Genomic DNA, 15,759 nt, shown 5'->3' with positions numbered 1-15,759 from the left:
CATATATAAAGTGTCAAAAGAAAAAAAACTTTTATTCTAGATTAGTATATTTAGTGAAAATATCCTTGAATCATGAAGGAGAAATACTTTCCCAGATGAACAAAAGCTGAGGGATTTCATCAACACCACATGTATCCTACAAAAATGCATTTCTTCACTGACCACTGGTCATTCAGGAGCATATTGTCTAACTTACATGTGTTGTGTAGTTTCCAAAATTCCTCTTATTATTGATTTCTAATTTTATTCCATTGTGATCTGAGAAGATACCTGACTTTAAGATAATTTCAATTTTTTTTTTTTTTTTGAGACGGAGTCTCGCTCTGTCGCCCAGGCTGGAGTGCAGTGGCGGGATCTCGGCTCACTGCAAGCTCCGCCTCCCGGGTTCACGCCATTCTCCCGCCTCAGCCTCCCAAGTAGCTGGGACTACAGGCGCCCGCCACTACGCCCGGCTAATTTTTTGTATTTTTAGTAGAGACGGGGTTTCACCATTTTAGCCGGGATGGTCTCGATCTCCTGACCTCGTGATCCGCCCGCCTCGGCCTCCCAAAGTGCTGGGATTACAGGCGTGAGCCACCGCGCCCGGCCTAATTTCAATTTTTTTTTGAGGTTTTTAAGACTTGTTTTGCGGCCTAACATATAGTCAGTCCTTGAGAGTAATCCATGTGCTGAGGGGAAGAGTGTGTATTCTGCAGCTGTCAGATGAAGTGTTCTTCAATCTGAAAGAAAAGGATGTTAATGAGCAATGATAAATCATCTGGAGGTGCAAAACTCACTGGTAACTGTAAGAACACAGAAAACTACAGAATATTATAAGACTACAATTGTGGTGCATAAACTACTCATATCTTGAGTAGAAAGACTAAATAATGAACAGATAAAAAATAATAACTACAACAACTTTTCAAGACACAGTACAATAAGATAAATAGAAACAACAAAAAGTTAATAAGCAGGGGACAAAGTTAAAGTGTACAGTTTTTCTTAGTTTTCTCTTGGCTTGTTTGTTAGTTTATGCAACCAGTGGCAAATTGTCATCAGTTTAAAATCATGGGTTATAAGATATTATTTGCAAGGTTCTTGATAACCTCAACCAAAAAGATATACACGGATACACAAAAAATAAAAAGCAAGAAATTAAAACATACTACCAGAGAAAATCACTTTCACTAAAAGGAAGACAGAAATGAAGGAAAGAAGGAAGAGCAGACCACAAAACAATCAGAAAACAAACAACAAAATGGCAGGAGTAAGTCCTTACTAATAGCATTTAATGTAAATATACTAAACTCTCCAATCAAAAGATGTAGAATGGCTGAATGGATAAAAAAGTAAGACCCACTGATCTGTTGCCTACAGAAACACACTTCATCTATAAAGAACACATAGCCTGAAAGTAAAGGGATGGAAAAAGATATTCCATGCTAATGAATACCAAAAAAAAAAAAAAAAAAAAAAAAAGAGGAGGAGTGGCTACACTTATGTCAGACAAAATAGACTTCAGGACAGAAACTATAAAAAGATACAGTTCATTATATAATGATAAAGGGGTCAGTGTGGCAAGGGGATACAACAATTATAAATATGCACCCAACACTGGAGCTCCAGGAATATATAAAATAAATATTATTAGAGCTAAAAAGAGAGATAGACTCCAATATAAAAATAGCTGGAGACTTCAATACTCTACTTTCAGCATTGGACAGATCATTCAAAGAGAAAATCAACAGGAAAAAAAATCAGACTTAACCTGCACTATAGGCTAAATGGAACTAACAGATATTTACAGAACACTTCATCTGACAGCTGCAGAATACACATTCTTCTCCTCAGCACATGGATTACTCTCAAGGACTGACCATACGTTAGGCCACAAAAAAGTCTTCAAAAAATTCAAAAGCTGGAATTATCTTAAATTCAGGTATCTTTCAGATCACAATGGAATAAAATTAGGAATCAATAACAAGAGGAATTTTGGAAACTATACAAACACCTGTAAGTTAAACAATATGCTCCTGAATGACCAGTGGTCAATGAAGAAATAAAGAAATAAATTACCAAATTTCTTGAAACAAATGATAATGGAAACACAACATACCAAAACCTATGGGATACAGCAAAAGAGGAAAGTTTATAGCTATAAGCACCTATATCAAAAAAGTACAAAAACTTCAAATAAATAACCTAATGATGCATTTTGAGAACTAGAAAAGCCGGAGCAAACCAAACCCAAAATTAGTAGAAGAAAAGAAATAATAAAGATCAGAGCAGAAATAAATGAAATTGAAATGAAGAAAACAATTCAAAAGATAAATGAAACTAAAAGTTGGGTTTTTGAAAAGGTAAACAAAATGACAAACCTTTGGCAAGACTAGGAAAAAAGAAAAGATACGAATAATAAATTAGAGATGAAAAAGGAGACATTACGACCAATATTACAGAAATTCAAAGGATCATTATAGGCTACTATGACCAACTATATGCCAATAAACTGGTAAACCTGGAAGAAATAAATTACTAGACACATACAGCCTACCAAGATTAAACCATGGAGAAATCCAAAACCTGAACAGACCAATAACAAGTAATTAGATTGAAGCCATAATAAAAGCCTCCCAGCAATGAAAAGTCCAGGATTCAATGGCTTCACTGCTGAATTTTACCAAACATTTAAACAAGAACTGATAACAATCCTACTCAAACTATTCCAAAAATAGAGGAGAAGGGAATGCTTCCAAACTCAACATTTGAGGATTGTGTTTACCCTGATACCTAAACCAGACAAAGACTCATTAAAAAGAAGGAGAAGGAGGAGAAGGAAGAGAAGAGGAAGAAGAAGGAGAAGGAGAAGAAGAAGATGATGACGACTTCAGGCCAATAACTCTGATGAACATTGGTGCAAAAATCTTCAATAAAATACTAGCAAACCAAATTTAACAACACATTAAAAAGAATATTCATCATGACCAAGTGGAATTTATCTAGGGGTGCAAGGATGGCTCAAACATATACAAATTAATCAATGTGATACATCATGTCAACAGAATTGTAGGACAAAAACCATATGATCATTCAATTGATGCTGAAAAAGCATTTGATAAAATTCAATATCCCTTCATGATTTAAAAAACCCTAAAAAAAAAAAACCGGGTATAGAAGGAACATACTTCAACACAATAAAATCCATATATAACAGACCCATGATTAGTATCATACAGAATGGGGAAAAACTGAAAGCCTTTCCTCTAAGACCTGGAACACAGCAAGGATGCCTACTTTCATCACTGGTATTCAACATAGTACTGGAAGTCCTAGCTAGAACAATCAGACGAGAGAAAGAAACAAAGGCATTCAAATTGGAAAGGAAGAAGTCAAATTATCCTTGTTTGCATATGATATTATCTTATATTTTTAAAAACCTAAGCCTCCTCCAAAAAATGATTAGGACTGATAAAAATTCAGTAAAGTTGGAGGTTACAAACTCAACATGCAAAAATCAGTAGCATTTCTATATGCAAACAGAGAACAATCTGTAAAAGAAATCAAGAAAGTAATCTTGTTTACAATAGCTACAAATAAAATACTAGGAATTAACTGAAGAGGTGACATACCTGTGCAATGAAAACTATAACACACTCATGAAAGAAACTGAAGCAGACTCAAAAATATGTAAAGATATTTCATGTTCTGGATTGAGTCAATATTGTTAAAATGTCCATACTATCCAAAGCAATGTACAGATTCAATGCAATCCTTATCAAAATAAAAATGACATTCTTCACAGAAATAGAAAAAAATCCTAAAATTTATATGGAACTATAAAAGACCCAAATAGCCAAAGCTATCCTGGGCAAAATAGCCAAAACTATCCTGAGCAAAAAGAAAAAAACTGGAGGAGTCACATTACCTGAATTCCAATTATACTACAGAGCTATAGTAACCAAAAGAGCATAGTACTGGCATAAAAACAGACACATAGCCAATAGAACAGAAGAGAGAACCCAGAATCAAATCCAAACATCTACAGTGAACTCATTTTTTGCAAAAGTGCCAAGAACATGCAGTGTGGGAAAGGACAGTCTCTTCAATAAATGGTGCTGGAAAAACTGGATATCCTTATGCAAAAGAATGAAACTAGACCCTTTTCTCTTGCCATATAAAAAATCAAATGTAAATAGATTAAAGACTAAAATCTAAGACTTCAAACTATGAAACTCCTCAAAGAAAACATTTGGGAAACTCTCTAGGATGTTGAAGTGGGCAAAGATTTCTTGAGTAATACCTCATAAGCACACGCAACCAAAGCAAAAATGGACAATTGGGATCATATCAAGTTAAAAAACTTGTGCACAGCAAAGGAAACAATCAACAAAGTGAAGAGACAAAATGGGAGAAAATATTTGCAAACTATCTAATAAGGGATTAAAAACCAGCAAAATAAGGAGCTCAAACAGCTGTATAGGAAAAAAGTCTAATAATCTAATTTTAAAATGGGCAAAATATATGATTAGACATTTTTCAAAAGAAGACACACAAATGGCAAACAGGTGTATGAAAAGGTGCTCAACATCATTGATCATCAGAGAAATGCAAATCAAAACTACAATAAGATATCATTTCAACCCACTTAAAATGGCTTTTATCCAAAAGATGGGCAATAACAAATGCTGGCGAGGATGTGGAGAAAATGGAGCCCTTGTATACTGTTGGTGGGAATGGAAATTAGTACAACTACTATGGAGAATTACTGTACAACTGCTATGGAGATTCCTCAAAAAGCTATATGATACATTGTACAATCCAGCAGTCCCACTGCTAGGTATATACCCAAAAGAAAGGAAATCAGGATATCAAAGAGCTATCTGCACTTTCATGTTTAATGCAGCACTATTCACAATAGCCAAGATTTGGAAGTGATCTAAGTGTCCATCATCAGATGAATGGTCAAAGAAAATGTGGTACTTATACACAATGGAATACTATTCAGCCATGAAAAAGAATGAAGTCTCATCATTTGCAACAACATGGGTGGAACTGTAGGTCATTAAGTGAAAGCAGCCAGACACAGAAAGACAAAGTTTGTATGTTCTCACTTTGTGTGAGAGCTGAAAATTAAAACAACTGGACTCATGGAGATAGAAAGTAGAAGGATGGTTACTAGAGGCAGGGAAGAGTAGTGGGGCATCAGGGGGAAGTGAGTATGGTTAAGGGGTACAAAAAATGGAAAAAAATGAATAAGACCTAGTATTTGATAGCACAACAGGGTAATTATAGTAAATAATGACTTAATTGTACATTTAAAAATAACTAAAAGAATATAACTAGATTGTTTGCAATACAAAGGATAAATGCTTGAAGGGATGGATACCCCATTTACCACGATGTGATTATTACACATTGCACGCCTGTATGAAAATATCTCAGGTACCCCATCTATATAAATACCTACTATGTACACACAAAAACTAAAATTTAAAATAAAAAAAAAAAGGATTCTCAAGAAACAGTATGAGGTGGAGTAGAAAGCTGTTGGGAGCTGGTGCGGGGCAAGAAATCAGGGACAGGGGAGACATTTTTAAAAATTCAATTTTATTTTCCATGTGTTGTGTCATAGGCACAAGGTACACCAAGCTGTAGAAGAGATTATCTCTCTCCTTAAGTTATTTTTAAAAATCATAGTAACTTAGAGAAATTTGTCTTTTTAGGAGGAAAGAACCAGGTATCCCTAATTATCCAAGCATTAGCTTAACCCACCTAAGAGAGACAATGGGTAGAAACAGTAAAGTTGTTCCCACTAGTTAATGACTACTAATTGAATACTCATTCTGTGTCATATTAATTTCTATATATTATCTCATTTAATACCCTCAAGAATTTCTCATAAGATAGGCACTGTTATCACTGTTGTACGTAGAAGGAAATGGAAGCTCAGATATGTAAAGTAGTTTGTACAAAGTCAACAGCTGATAAGTGGTCTAGCTAGGATTCCAACCCAGTGCAAAGTAGTTACTATTGACTGAGTGTTTCTTACGTGCCAGGCAGTGATAGTATCTCATAGTATCTAATAAATTTCAAGAACAACCCTCTGAAGTACCATTATTTTGTGCAAATTACAAATCAGGAATCTGGGACTCTGAGAGTTGCTAATGGCACACAACTGCCAAGTGACAGGTTGTTTGACCCCTTTCCTTGATTGTGCTTCCCCTGGAGGTGGGACAAGGAAATGTTGGGCAAGGAAGAGACAGATCATGACTCTGAGGAGCAGCCTGTCAGGGGAAGTTATGAAGCGATGGTGGATTCCAGTGGCCTAAATGGGAATTACTTGCTTATAGACTCATTTATATCCATAATAACATATGCTATCTGTAAATAGTTGGGTATGCTTTAGCTAAATGTTTAGTAAATTTGCTTTTAATCTCATCCATAGAGCATAAACATTACATTCTTCCCAGGAAACTTCTAGACATACAGGCTCAATTTAAGAACAATGGCAAGGGATTGACTGTGTTTAACATGAAACCTACTGACTTTACTGACCATCTCAGACTTTATACTGGTGCCCAGGCTGACAAAGACCCCTCAGACTGGATCTCTCCACTTTGTTGGAAGAATAATGATAATAGAATTTATTTTCAGCCTGTTCTTGAAACTTGCTGTTCCCATTAATCCTCATTATCCTCCTTTAGTCTTCTGAGTCATCTCACCTGAAAGTCTTAGAGCTCTGCTTCATTTTAGGAACCGCAGGCAACCATGTAGGTAAATAAAGTTTTTATTCTTCCCTGATCTCATAAAAGTAGAGTTGTGACTCAGTTATATTCTCCAGAGAGCCAAAGTTATATGTGTTCAGGCAAGGAGTTAGTCACACAAACAGAGCGGGGTTGCTAAGCAATGTAATACACATTTCATTAATTACAACAATGGCACTTTTGCTGTCGGTGCCCTTGATTATGGGGGATTCCAGGTTGAAGCCCTGAGGACATAGGAACAGTGAGGTCCAGAAGGGCCCATATGTGGTGTCTTTTGGTTCAACCCCATCATCTTATTTTTCCTTGTCAAATCTTTTTGGATGATTTCACACTTTGTGGTCAGGAGTAAAACAGTAAGACATGAAAATGGGAGCCAGGGCTGATGAGCGGGTCAGTCAGCTGAGATATTAACACATTAGGGCTTTATTTGTGTGCAGGCATGTGAAATAATTCAACCCTAAAACACCCACAGCTGACTTCCCCTGTTTTTTTTTTTAAGGTTCCAGCTTACATATCAATTTTTTCCAAAAGCAACCCCAAAAGGATTAGGTGTTTTCTGGTATGGATATTTGTTATTTCTGGTTATATTATTGTTGTTTCTTGTTGTTAACATCTAAAACCCTACCAAGTTTAGGGAGGAATTGTCTTATAGTAGTATTTGTGGGATCCTTTACTCCTTGTACCACTGAGGAAGCTGTAGAGGGGAACATCTTTCTCTCCCAACCCCTAACAATCTAGGTCTCACCCAATCTGACCCTACTTTTTGGAATTTTAGATCACAAGTGAGCGACACAAAGATAAAAGAGATGGCCAGAATTCATTTCCTGTTTCCAGGGGCAGGGGTAGCTGCCTCATGGAAGAATTGTTCTTTCCACTTGGTGTTTGGAGCCTTCTGGGATCCTCCCATTATAGTAGGTAGCTAATCAGGTATGAGCAGGGCAGGAGAGGGCTCCCCCAACCCACACAAGGAGTGTTGGGCAACCATCAGTGATAGTCAGGTTGTTGTTAGCTGTCCCTCTAAAGTAATAATTGGTCACAGCCGGCACCAGGGAAGGGCATTCTCCTAATAGGTAAAACACACCTGAAACTGGTGATCAGCGGCTTCCCAATAAGATCTCAGGAGTGGGGAGAAGTAATGGAAGACCCCGGAAGTATGTCAACATATAAAACCCCAAGTCAAGCGGTAAAGCCATGCACTTGGTCTCTCAAATTGCCCGCTTGGCCCTCTTCCAAGTGTGCTTTCCTTCCTTTCATTACTGCTCTAATAAGCTAACTTAGTTTTAATAAACTAACTCCTGCTCTAAAACTTGCCTTGGTCTCTCCTTCTGCTTTATGTCCCTCAAATTCTTTCTTCTGAGGAGACAAGAATTGAGGTTGCTGCAGACCTGTACGGATAACTACTGCCATTAACATATTTTGGTGCTGTGTGTCTCGGAAACCTTCCTCTGGTAATACTCTCACCTTCTGAGCTTGCTCTTCCAGCCCTTCTAGATCCTATGAACCACATATTGAAGTCCCTCTCCCCATAGCCTTCCAGAGAGTTTTTTTATCTAAATCAGCCTGAATCATTTCCCAAACTTGACCCAGGAACCCTGATTATGAGCCATTTTCCCGTGAGCTCTCAAGAGCATCTGTATTAGTTTCTGATGGTTGTTGTAACAAATTATCACAAATTTTATGGATTCAAGTAACACAAATGTATTCCGTAACACTGCTAGAGGCTGCAAATCTGAACTCAGTATCACTGGATTGAAATCACGTATTGGCAAGACCGTGCTTCCTCCAGAGACTCTAAGGGGGAATTTTTTCCTTGCCTCTTCCAGCTTCCAGTTTCTGGTGGTTGCCAGAATTCCACAGTTTATGGTTTGTGGTTGCATCATTCCATTCTCTGCCCCAGTGGTCACATTGCCTTATCATCTTCTGTCTGTATCAAACCCTTGCCTCCCTTTTATAAGAACATATGTGATTGTATTGAGGGCCTACCCTGATAATCCAGGATAATCTCCCATCTCAAGATCCTTAACTTCATCACACCCACAAAGACCCTTTTTTGCCATATAGGGGAACATTCACAGATTCTAAGGATTGGGATGTGGATATCTTGGGGGGCCATTTTTCACCTACCCCAGTATCCTCAACTGTATGCTCAAGAGTTCTGCAGCTGTTGTGGTCCATTTACTTGCCTGTCTCCTGTACTAGACTGTGAATTCTTGGAGCTCAGAAGCAATTTGTCGTGCCTATCATTTATCCCTGGTGCTACCCTTCTGGTAGGCACACAAAAATACTTGAATGAATCAATAAACAAGTTAAATTCATGATGCAATTCTTATTGCATATCTGTTTTTTAGCACAAGTTTGGAAATTTAAAAATTTAGGAGGAAATTGTATCTCTTGTAGTAGGCACATAGGTTTCAACACTATTTCTCTGTTTAATAGAGTTCGTTTGCTTTTGAACTTCTGGTGGCTCTTCTCTACGATAACCCTACGTCAGAAGACGTGAAGCATGCAGACGCCATCCAGCTCCCAGGGCAGGTATTGTTAATCTTTTCTGAAAAGTGCAAACACGGCCTTAGAATCTTTGACACAATGTTCCAGGCAGCCAACTCAAGGCAGCTGAGTGAAGTTGAACTGCAAGATAAAACTTTTCACGTCATTACACTCAGAAGATAAAAAAAAACCAAACTGCTCAGTCTGGTCCCACTTTGCTCAGAGACTCTTATTATTTCTTTTCTTTTTGTTTGAGACAGGATCTCACTCTGTTGCCCAGGCTGGAGGGCAGTGGTGCAATCTTGGCTCACTGAAACCTCTGCCTCCTGGGTTCAAGCAATTCTCTTGCCTCAGCCTCCTCAGTAGCTGGGCCTACAGGTGCCCGCAACCACATCTGCCTAATTTTTGTATTTTTGGTAGAGATGGGGTTTTGCCATTTTGGTCAGGCTGGTCTCGAACTTCTGAGCTCAGGCAATCCACCTGCCTCAGCCTCCCAAAATGTTGGGATTACAGGCGTGAGCCACCGCGCCTGGCCTCCCTCATTATTTCTGACGTAAAGTATGCTTCAGCTAGGATCAAGCATACTACATTCATTCTCCGTAAGTTCATAACGTTCCTCTCCCCTCTCTCCTATCTAGGCAATAACCCCCTTTAGGTTCCAAAGCAACTCCCCACTTCAAACAGAAGAGATTTTTCTTTAACCCTGACACATACAATCATTTATTTTCATGCTGCCAAATGCAATTTGTTTTCTCTCCAGGTCTCCAATTATAATCAGCACCTACTTGCCCCAGGAAGGCTCCTTCTCTTCCTCCATCATATTGACATTTAATTTATGATCTCTCCTCAAAATACAAAATGTTAAACACTCATTTCTTTTCTACATTTCTCAGACGAGACTCTCATGACCTGCCAAATGCTGCCATTAATTGCCAGTTGGTGCCGATGTGCCCTGCCCCGCACCTTCATGTCTGGTTGAGGGGACTGCTCCAGGGGTACCTGGTCCTGACAGTGGTAACATGAACTCGATCTCTGGACCAATCAAAGGGATCCACAAGGCTCTGACCTTTTCCTTCTGGACAGGGTAATTTCAATGGTACAGTGAATAACACTTCCAATACAAACAGCTTAGTCACTGTTTACAGTTTTAGAGTAAAAATTGCAAAGAAAACTCTCTGTTATGTAGGTATTTGAGGTTACTGTTCAGTGCCAGTATCTTTTGGGGATGGGACAGTCATTAGCTTTGGCAATTAACAGTTCTCAGAGCAGCTTCTAAAACACAATTTCTGCTTGTCCACCAGGCCAGAATTAGACCAATTAGAAATAAGGCGTCTGCTGTATTATTCACTTTGAAGCATCAGAATATGGCAGTGTTGCTCATGTCTAGGTTATTTTCCAGTGCACAATGCCAACCATCTGATATTTGTGCTGTGTGATTACTGAAAGAAATAGTAGTGAGGGCAGCTTACCAACAGGACAGATTGCAGGGAGGCCTCTCAGCTACAGTAAATGAGATTTTGGATTTGGATTCTGCAGTGTCCATCTAGAAAGCGGGGTGAGGGCTGCACTCCTTAGATGTCTGGTATTTCGCTCTTGGTTTCAGCCACACATAAACATTTGGGCAAGGCTTTGAGGCACACAGTCAACACTGATTAGTGTTGTTTATAACAAATAACTAATGACCTTAATTTGAAAAGAAGCTTTTTTTATCCCCCCCCACTATTATCTGGTTGCAGGAAGGCAAGCATGTTCTCAGAGAAAGGACTCCTCCTGTCAAATGTTGGATTCTTAAAGGACAAGGGCATGACAAGAGCAAAGACCTTGGGAAAGCTGGTCTGTCACTGTTTGCAGAAGGTTCTAGAGCAGTGCTTCCAAAACTTGAATGTGCTCACCAACTTCAAGACACAAAGCACAGTTCTGCACTGGGGCCTGAGAGTCTGGATTTCCAGTAAGTTCCCAGGGGATAGCTAATGCTCCTGGCCCATGGACTACTCTTTGAGGAACAAGGGCTTATATCAGTGATTCTTAAGTGGGAGCAGAGAAGGCACGTATAAGAACTGAAGGAAATTCTTTCAGAATACACATCCCCCTCTTTTCCCACCAGGACTATCAAATTGGGAGAAATGAGGGCACATATATTTATTTAAAGCTTTATTGAGGCATAATTTACTACCATAAAATTCACCCACTTTAAGTGAACAATTAAATGATTATTTGTATTAGTCGTACAACCATCATCACCACAATCTTATTTTAAATAATTTCCATCATCCCAAAAAGAAAACTTGCTGTTTGCCATCATTCCCCATTTCCACCCCTAGCTCCAGAAAACTATTAATATATGATCTGTCTCTGTAGATTTACCTTTTCTGGACCTTTCATATAAATGGAATCATTTAATATGTGGACTTTTGTGCCTGACTTCTTTCACTTAGCATGGGGTTTTTGAGATTCATCCACGCTGTAGCATGTATGCAGTACTTCATTCCTTGTTACAGGCACATGGGCTTTTAAAAGCCTTTCATGGTGATTCAGTGGCCTCCTGGTTGAGGACCACCATATATATATGTGTGTGTGTATATATATAAAAGTGTATATATATGTATATGTGTGTGTATATATATATGTACATACCATATCAGTTTAGAAATTATCTTCTTTTCAAAATTAGGAAGCAGAGAGGCTAAACAACTCCTTCAAGCAATTATGATTGAAGCCAGTATCTTTTGACTTCAAACCCAAAGCATTTTCCCTGATACATACTCTTTATAAATGCAGCAGATAGCAGATCTGAGGTAATCTCAGGTACGCAGTGCTCTTCCAGAGCTCACCAGAATGCAACCAGGGTAAGACTTTGCATCAGTCTTAACAAAGGGTAGCATTCAAAAGAAGAACACTTCCAACTTCAATAAAACCTTGTAAAAGGATTTCAGTCTTTATGGAAGTCCATGGACAAGGCACAGAAGAGGGGCATTACATTGCATCATATAGAGCAAACTAGCAACCCACTTTACATGCCACCTCTTCCCCAAATTGCACAAAGTCTAGCAGCTGTCTCCTCCTCTAGGCCATACTTTCTATCTTCGCTCTCCCTTAGCCCTTTTCCCTCAAACTCTAGCTTCTGCTGGCTGGCTTGTCTTCTGCTACCTCCTTCAGGGAGCTGTGATTTTCTTTGGTCTGGGAGTACCTGGCTCTCTTAATGAAAATCACCTTAGTCTTACTCAGCATTCTCTCCCTTCTCCATTTGTATCTTTGTCCATTTCTCAGAGTGGCACTCCAAGAATTTGTAAAGGTAGAGAAGCCCATGACTAATTTTTAACTTTTTCTGTCCTGTTCATAAATGTTGGAGATAGGTTGTGTTTTGGGCCACCATAGCCACCTTTTGAAGGGGCTTCCAGGGGCCAGCCATGAATGCTGACTGGCTGAAGTCCAGTCTAAGGAAGGAAAAAATCCATCCCTCTTCTTGCCTGGTCTTCCTTGGCTCACTGCCATCCCAGTGCTCCTATTCTCAATATCAGGCTAGATTTAACCTTTTTGGTAAACACCTAGTAACAAAATGATTGCTTAAGGAAACTTGGTCTGTTTAAAATGACATAGTTTTCACCTCATCCCAATCTAATACTTTTCCTCTTGTTCTGGACACAGATAAGCATCTGTTCATAGCATCTCTTGTTATTAATTATTAATTTATTAATTATAAAGATGTTCAAGTATATAATTATAAAATTATAATTAAACAAACATATAATAAAACAACTATTGTTAATGATTCTTTATTAATTATTAATTCAGGCTATTCCATGCTGGGTGTGGAGCAGAGCATTGTGGCACATCAACAGTTTGAGTCTCTCTGATCTCCACTTTGTCCATGTCCTGGGCGCTTCTCCCTGCCTTGAGCTTCCTTTCCTTATTTAAAAATGAAGATCTGGCTACTTAGAACCTCAGGATCTCAGAAGGACAGAGGTGGAAGTGTCCTCAGAGCTTGTCTTCAACATTCTTCATTTTTCAGGTGAAGAAACCAGGGTCCCCAGGGGTGAAGTGTCTTGCAATTATTGTCAGCATTTTAGCTGCGCTTGTGTGTGAGGTTGTAGGAGAAACAGAAGGGAAAAAGTAAAGAGAACAGATTCTGTAGAAAGCCAAGAGCAAAGTGTGATATAGCAAAAGCTGGAAAACAGTAACATTTGAAATGGAAGTGAATTCCCAGACAAACTGTCTCTCTCTCACCCGTTGTCTGGGTCAGAGGAGTGTTGAGAATATTAAGTATAGTGCTAGAGGTAGATGGGTGACATATTATGGTTTTAAGAGACAAAAAGATTCTGAATAGCTTCTGGAAATGACATGTCTAACGTGGTCCTGGTACACTGCAGGTGCTGAATAAATATTTGTTGGTTGATTCAGGTAAGATGACAAAAGGTAGACATGCTCCACAGTGTGTGCAAAATTAACAGGTTGCGGTTCCTGCATTTGGCTTGCAGGTCTCTTGGGTACTGGTTTGCAGGTCTCCTTGTAAGGGTCTTTAAAGCTTCCCATTAGTGAAGAGACTGTCTACCTGCAGCAGATTCAGCTGAGTTCAATTTCACAGTAAGACATTCTGAGTGCTCCCTCCTCCTTAATCTTTCCTAGAAAATGGAGCTCAAAGGGAATAGAAAGGAGAGGCAGGGAATGTTACACCTCTTGGGTCTGATGTCTAATTTTTGTTTAGTAGTAACAATGCTTTATAGCTTGTAGAACAATTCACATACATTTTCTTATTCAGTTCCCTCAGCAACTCTGTCAAGTCTGGGCTCCCGAGAACTAACGTCAGGCTGCCTGATCCCAGGTCAGTGCCTGTTTTCTGCCTGCTCTGAGTTCTTTCGGGCCTGGCCACCCTGTGAGGTTTCCATGGCACCCTGAACAACAGCCCAGCATGTCGGGCAGGGCCTTTCCTGAGTGCTGCCTCCTAGTCAGTGCATCCTCTGGCAGAGCTTCCCTTGAGGTTTGGGGCTCCTCGCAGCCTTGTTTCCCTCGGGAGGTGTTCTGTGCTCAGAGACCATGACTCATGAGCTACAGGAAGTTTTTGGCATGCTCCCTGCATGCTGAAAGAAAATTAATGGCTCAGCGAGTGTTTGGTGAAGGAGAAGGGTGCAGGCAATGGCAGCAAAGTTCTCAGTTGGAAAACACCTGCTGGTCCATGGGGAGGTTGTCCCTGGATTGGCAGAACTGGTGAGTCCTATGTGGAATTGTGGGCCAGACAGAGTTTATGTTGAGGTCTCAGGTTGTGATAGTTAATACTGAGTGTCAACTTGATTGGATTGAAGGATGAAAAGTATTGATCCTGGGTGTGTCTGTGAGGGTGTTGCCGAAGGAGATTAACATTTGAGTTAGTGGGCTGGGAAAGGCAGACCCACCCTTAATCTGGGGAGGTACCACCTAATCAGCTGCCAGCATGGCTAGAATAAAGCAGGCAGAAAAACATGAAAAGACTAGATTGGCCTAGCCTCCCAGCCTACCTCTTTCTTCTGTGTTGGATGCTTCCTGCCCTTGAACATTGGACTCCAAGTCCTTTGGTTTTGGGACTCAGACTGGCTCTCCTTGCTCCTGAGCTCACAGATGGCCTATTGTGGGACCTTGTGATCAAGTGAGTTAATACTTAATAAACTCCCTTTTATATATATAATTATCCAATTAGTTCTGTCCCTCTAGAGAACCCTGACTAATACAGATTTTGGTACCAGGAGTGTTTCTAGAGGAACAGAATATGAAGGATGGAGTTCTTTCATTGGTTTTGGGTTTCTGGTGTTGGCTGCTTAATATGATTAGACCCAAAAATGCTAAGGACCCTACTTCTAATAGTATAGAGAACACTGATATGAAGAGAACTTGGCATGAACTGTTTAGAGAGCTATGCAAAATAAATGCATTTGACACTCCTGATTCACTGCTCATGAGAGGCAAGGAGTCTAGTGACTCTATACATAATACCTTTGACCATATGTGGAGAACCAAAGAACATAATGAAGCTGGTTGATTGCTCCTAAGTTCAGTGGACAAAGTGATGAATTTTGTCATCACTTTGTTAGAGTCAGGGATTCTAACTCCTGGCTTCAGAAGCAGAAACTGAGCCTCAAATCTGCTAAGATTTCCCTGAGTGAGAGTCTTATCTCCTATAGAAAAAGAGCTGAAATTGTGGGAAAAAAGGCACAAGCTCTTATTATGTAAGGGGCTGACCTGCAATGGAAGGTGCATGCACAGCCTCGCCAGGTGTCTACTGCTAAAGTGAGGGCGTTGATCGGAAAAGAATAGGACCCTGCAACTCGGAATGGGGATGTGTAGGAGGCCACTGATGAAGCTGGGGACACTGAGCTTGTAAACTCTGATGAAACTTTTTTTGCCAGAAGAAACAGCTTCCCCATCGCCTCCCTGACCCATGCTGCCATCAGCCTTTCCCCCTTTGTCTGAGGAGATAAACCCTGCACTGACTGAGGCAACAGTGATGGCCTCCCCTGAGGGAGTTGCCAGGCAAGATAATGTTGATTCTCCTCAGGAG

At 39.6% G+C, this 15,759-nt stretch overlaps 1 long non-coding RNA gene across 1 annotated transcript, besides 1 other annotated feature; it reads left to right on the top strand.

Annotated features, from left to right (window-relative positions):
• Positions 1 to 6,130: 6,130 nt before the first annotated feature.
• On the top strand, positions 6,131 to 11,632 carry LOC107986896 (uncharacterized). The gene is made up of 3 exons (XR_001745728.2): positions 6,131 to 9,278; positions 10,127 to 10,317; positions 10,970 to 11,632. It is a non-coding gene; the product is annotated as an uncharacterized LOC107986896 (long non-coding RNA).
• Positions 9,147 to 10,346: an enhancer, noted in NCBI's record as "BRD4-independent group 4 enhancer chr8:95319922-95321121 (GRCh37/hg19 assembly coordinates)". NCBI's record gives its function as "activates an origin of replication core promoter dependent on BRD2, P300/CBP, MED14 and CDK7 cofactors, and independent of BRD4, by STARR-seq in HCT116 cells {active_cell/tissue: HCT116}" and the evidence as "EXISTENCE:reporter gene assay evidence [ECO:0000049][PMID:35650434]".
• Positions 11,633 to 15,759: the final 4,127 nt, after the last annotated feature.

This window comes from Homo sapiens, chromosome 8, assembly GCF_000001405.40.
Source record: "Homo sapiens chromosome 8, GRCh38.p14 Primary Assembly".
In the NCBI taxonomy this organism is placed as follows: Eukaryota; Metazoa; Chordata; class Mammalia; order Primates; family Hominidae; genus Homo; species Homo sapiens.
This window is presented reverse-complemented; position numbering and strand designations above follow the sequence as displayed.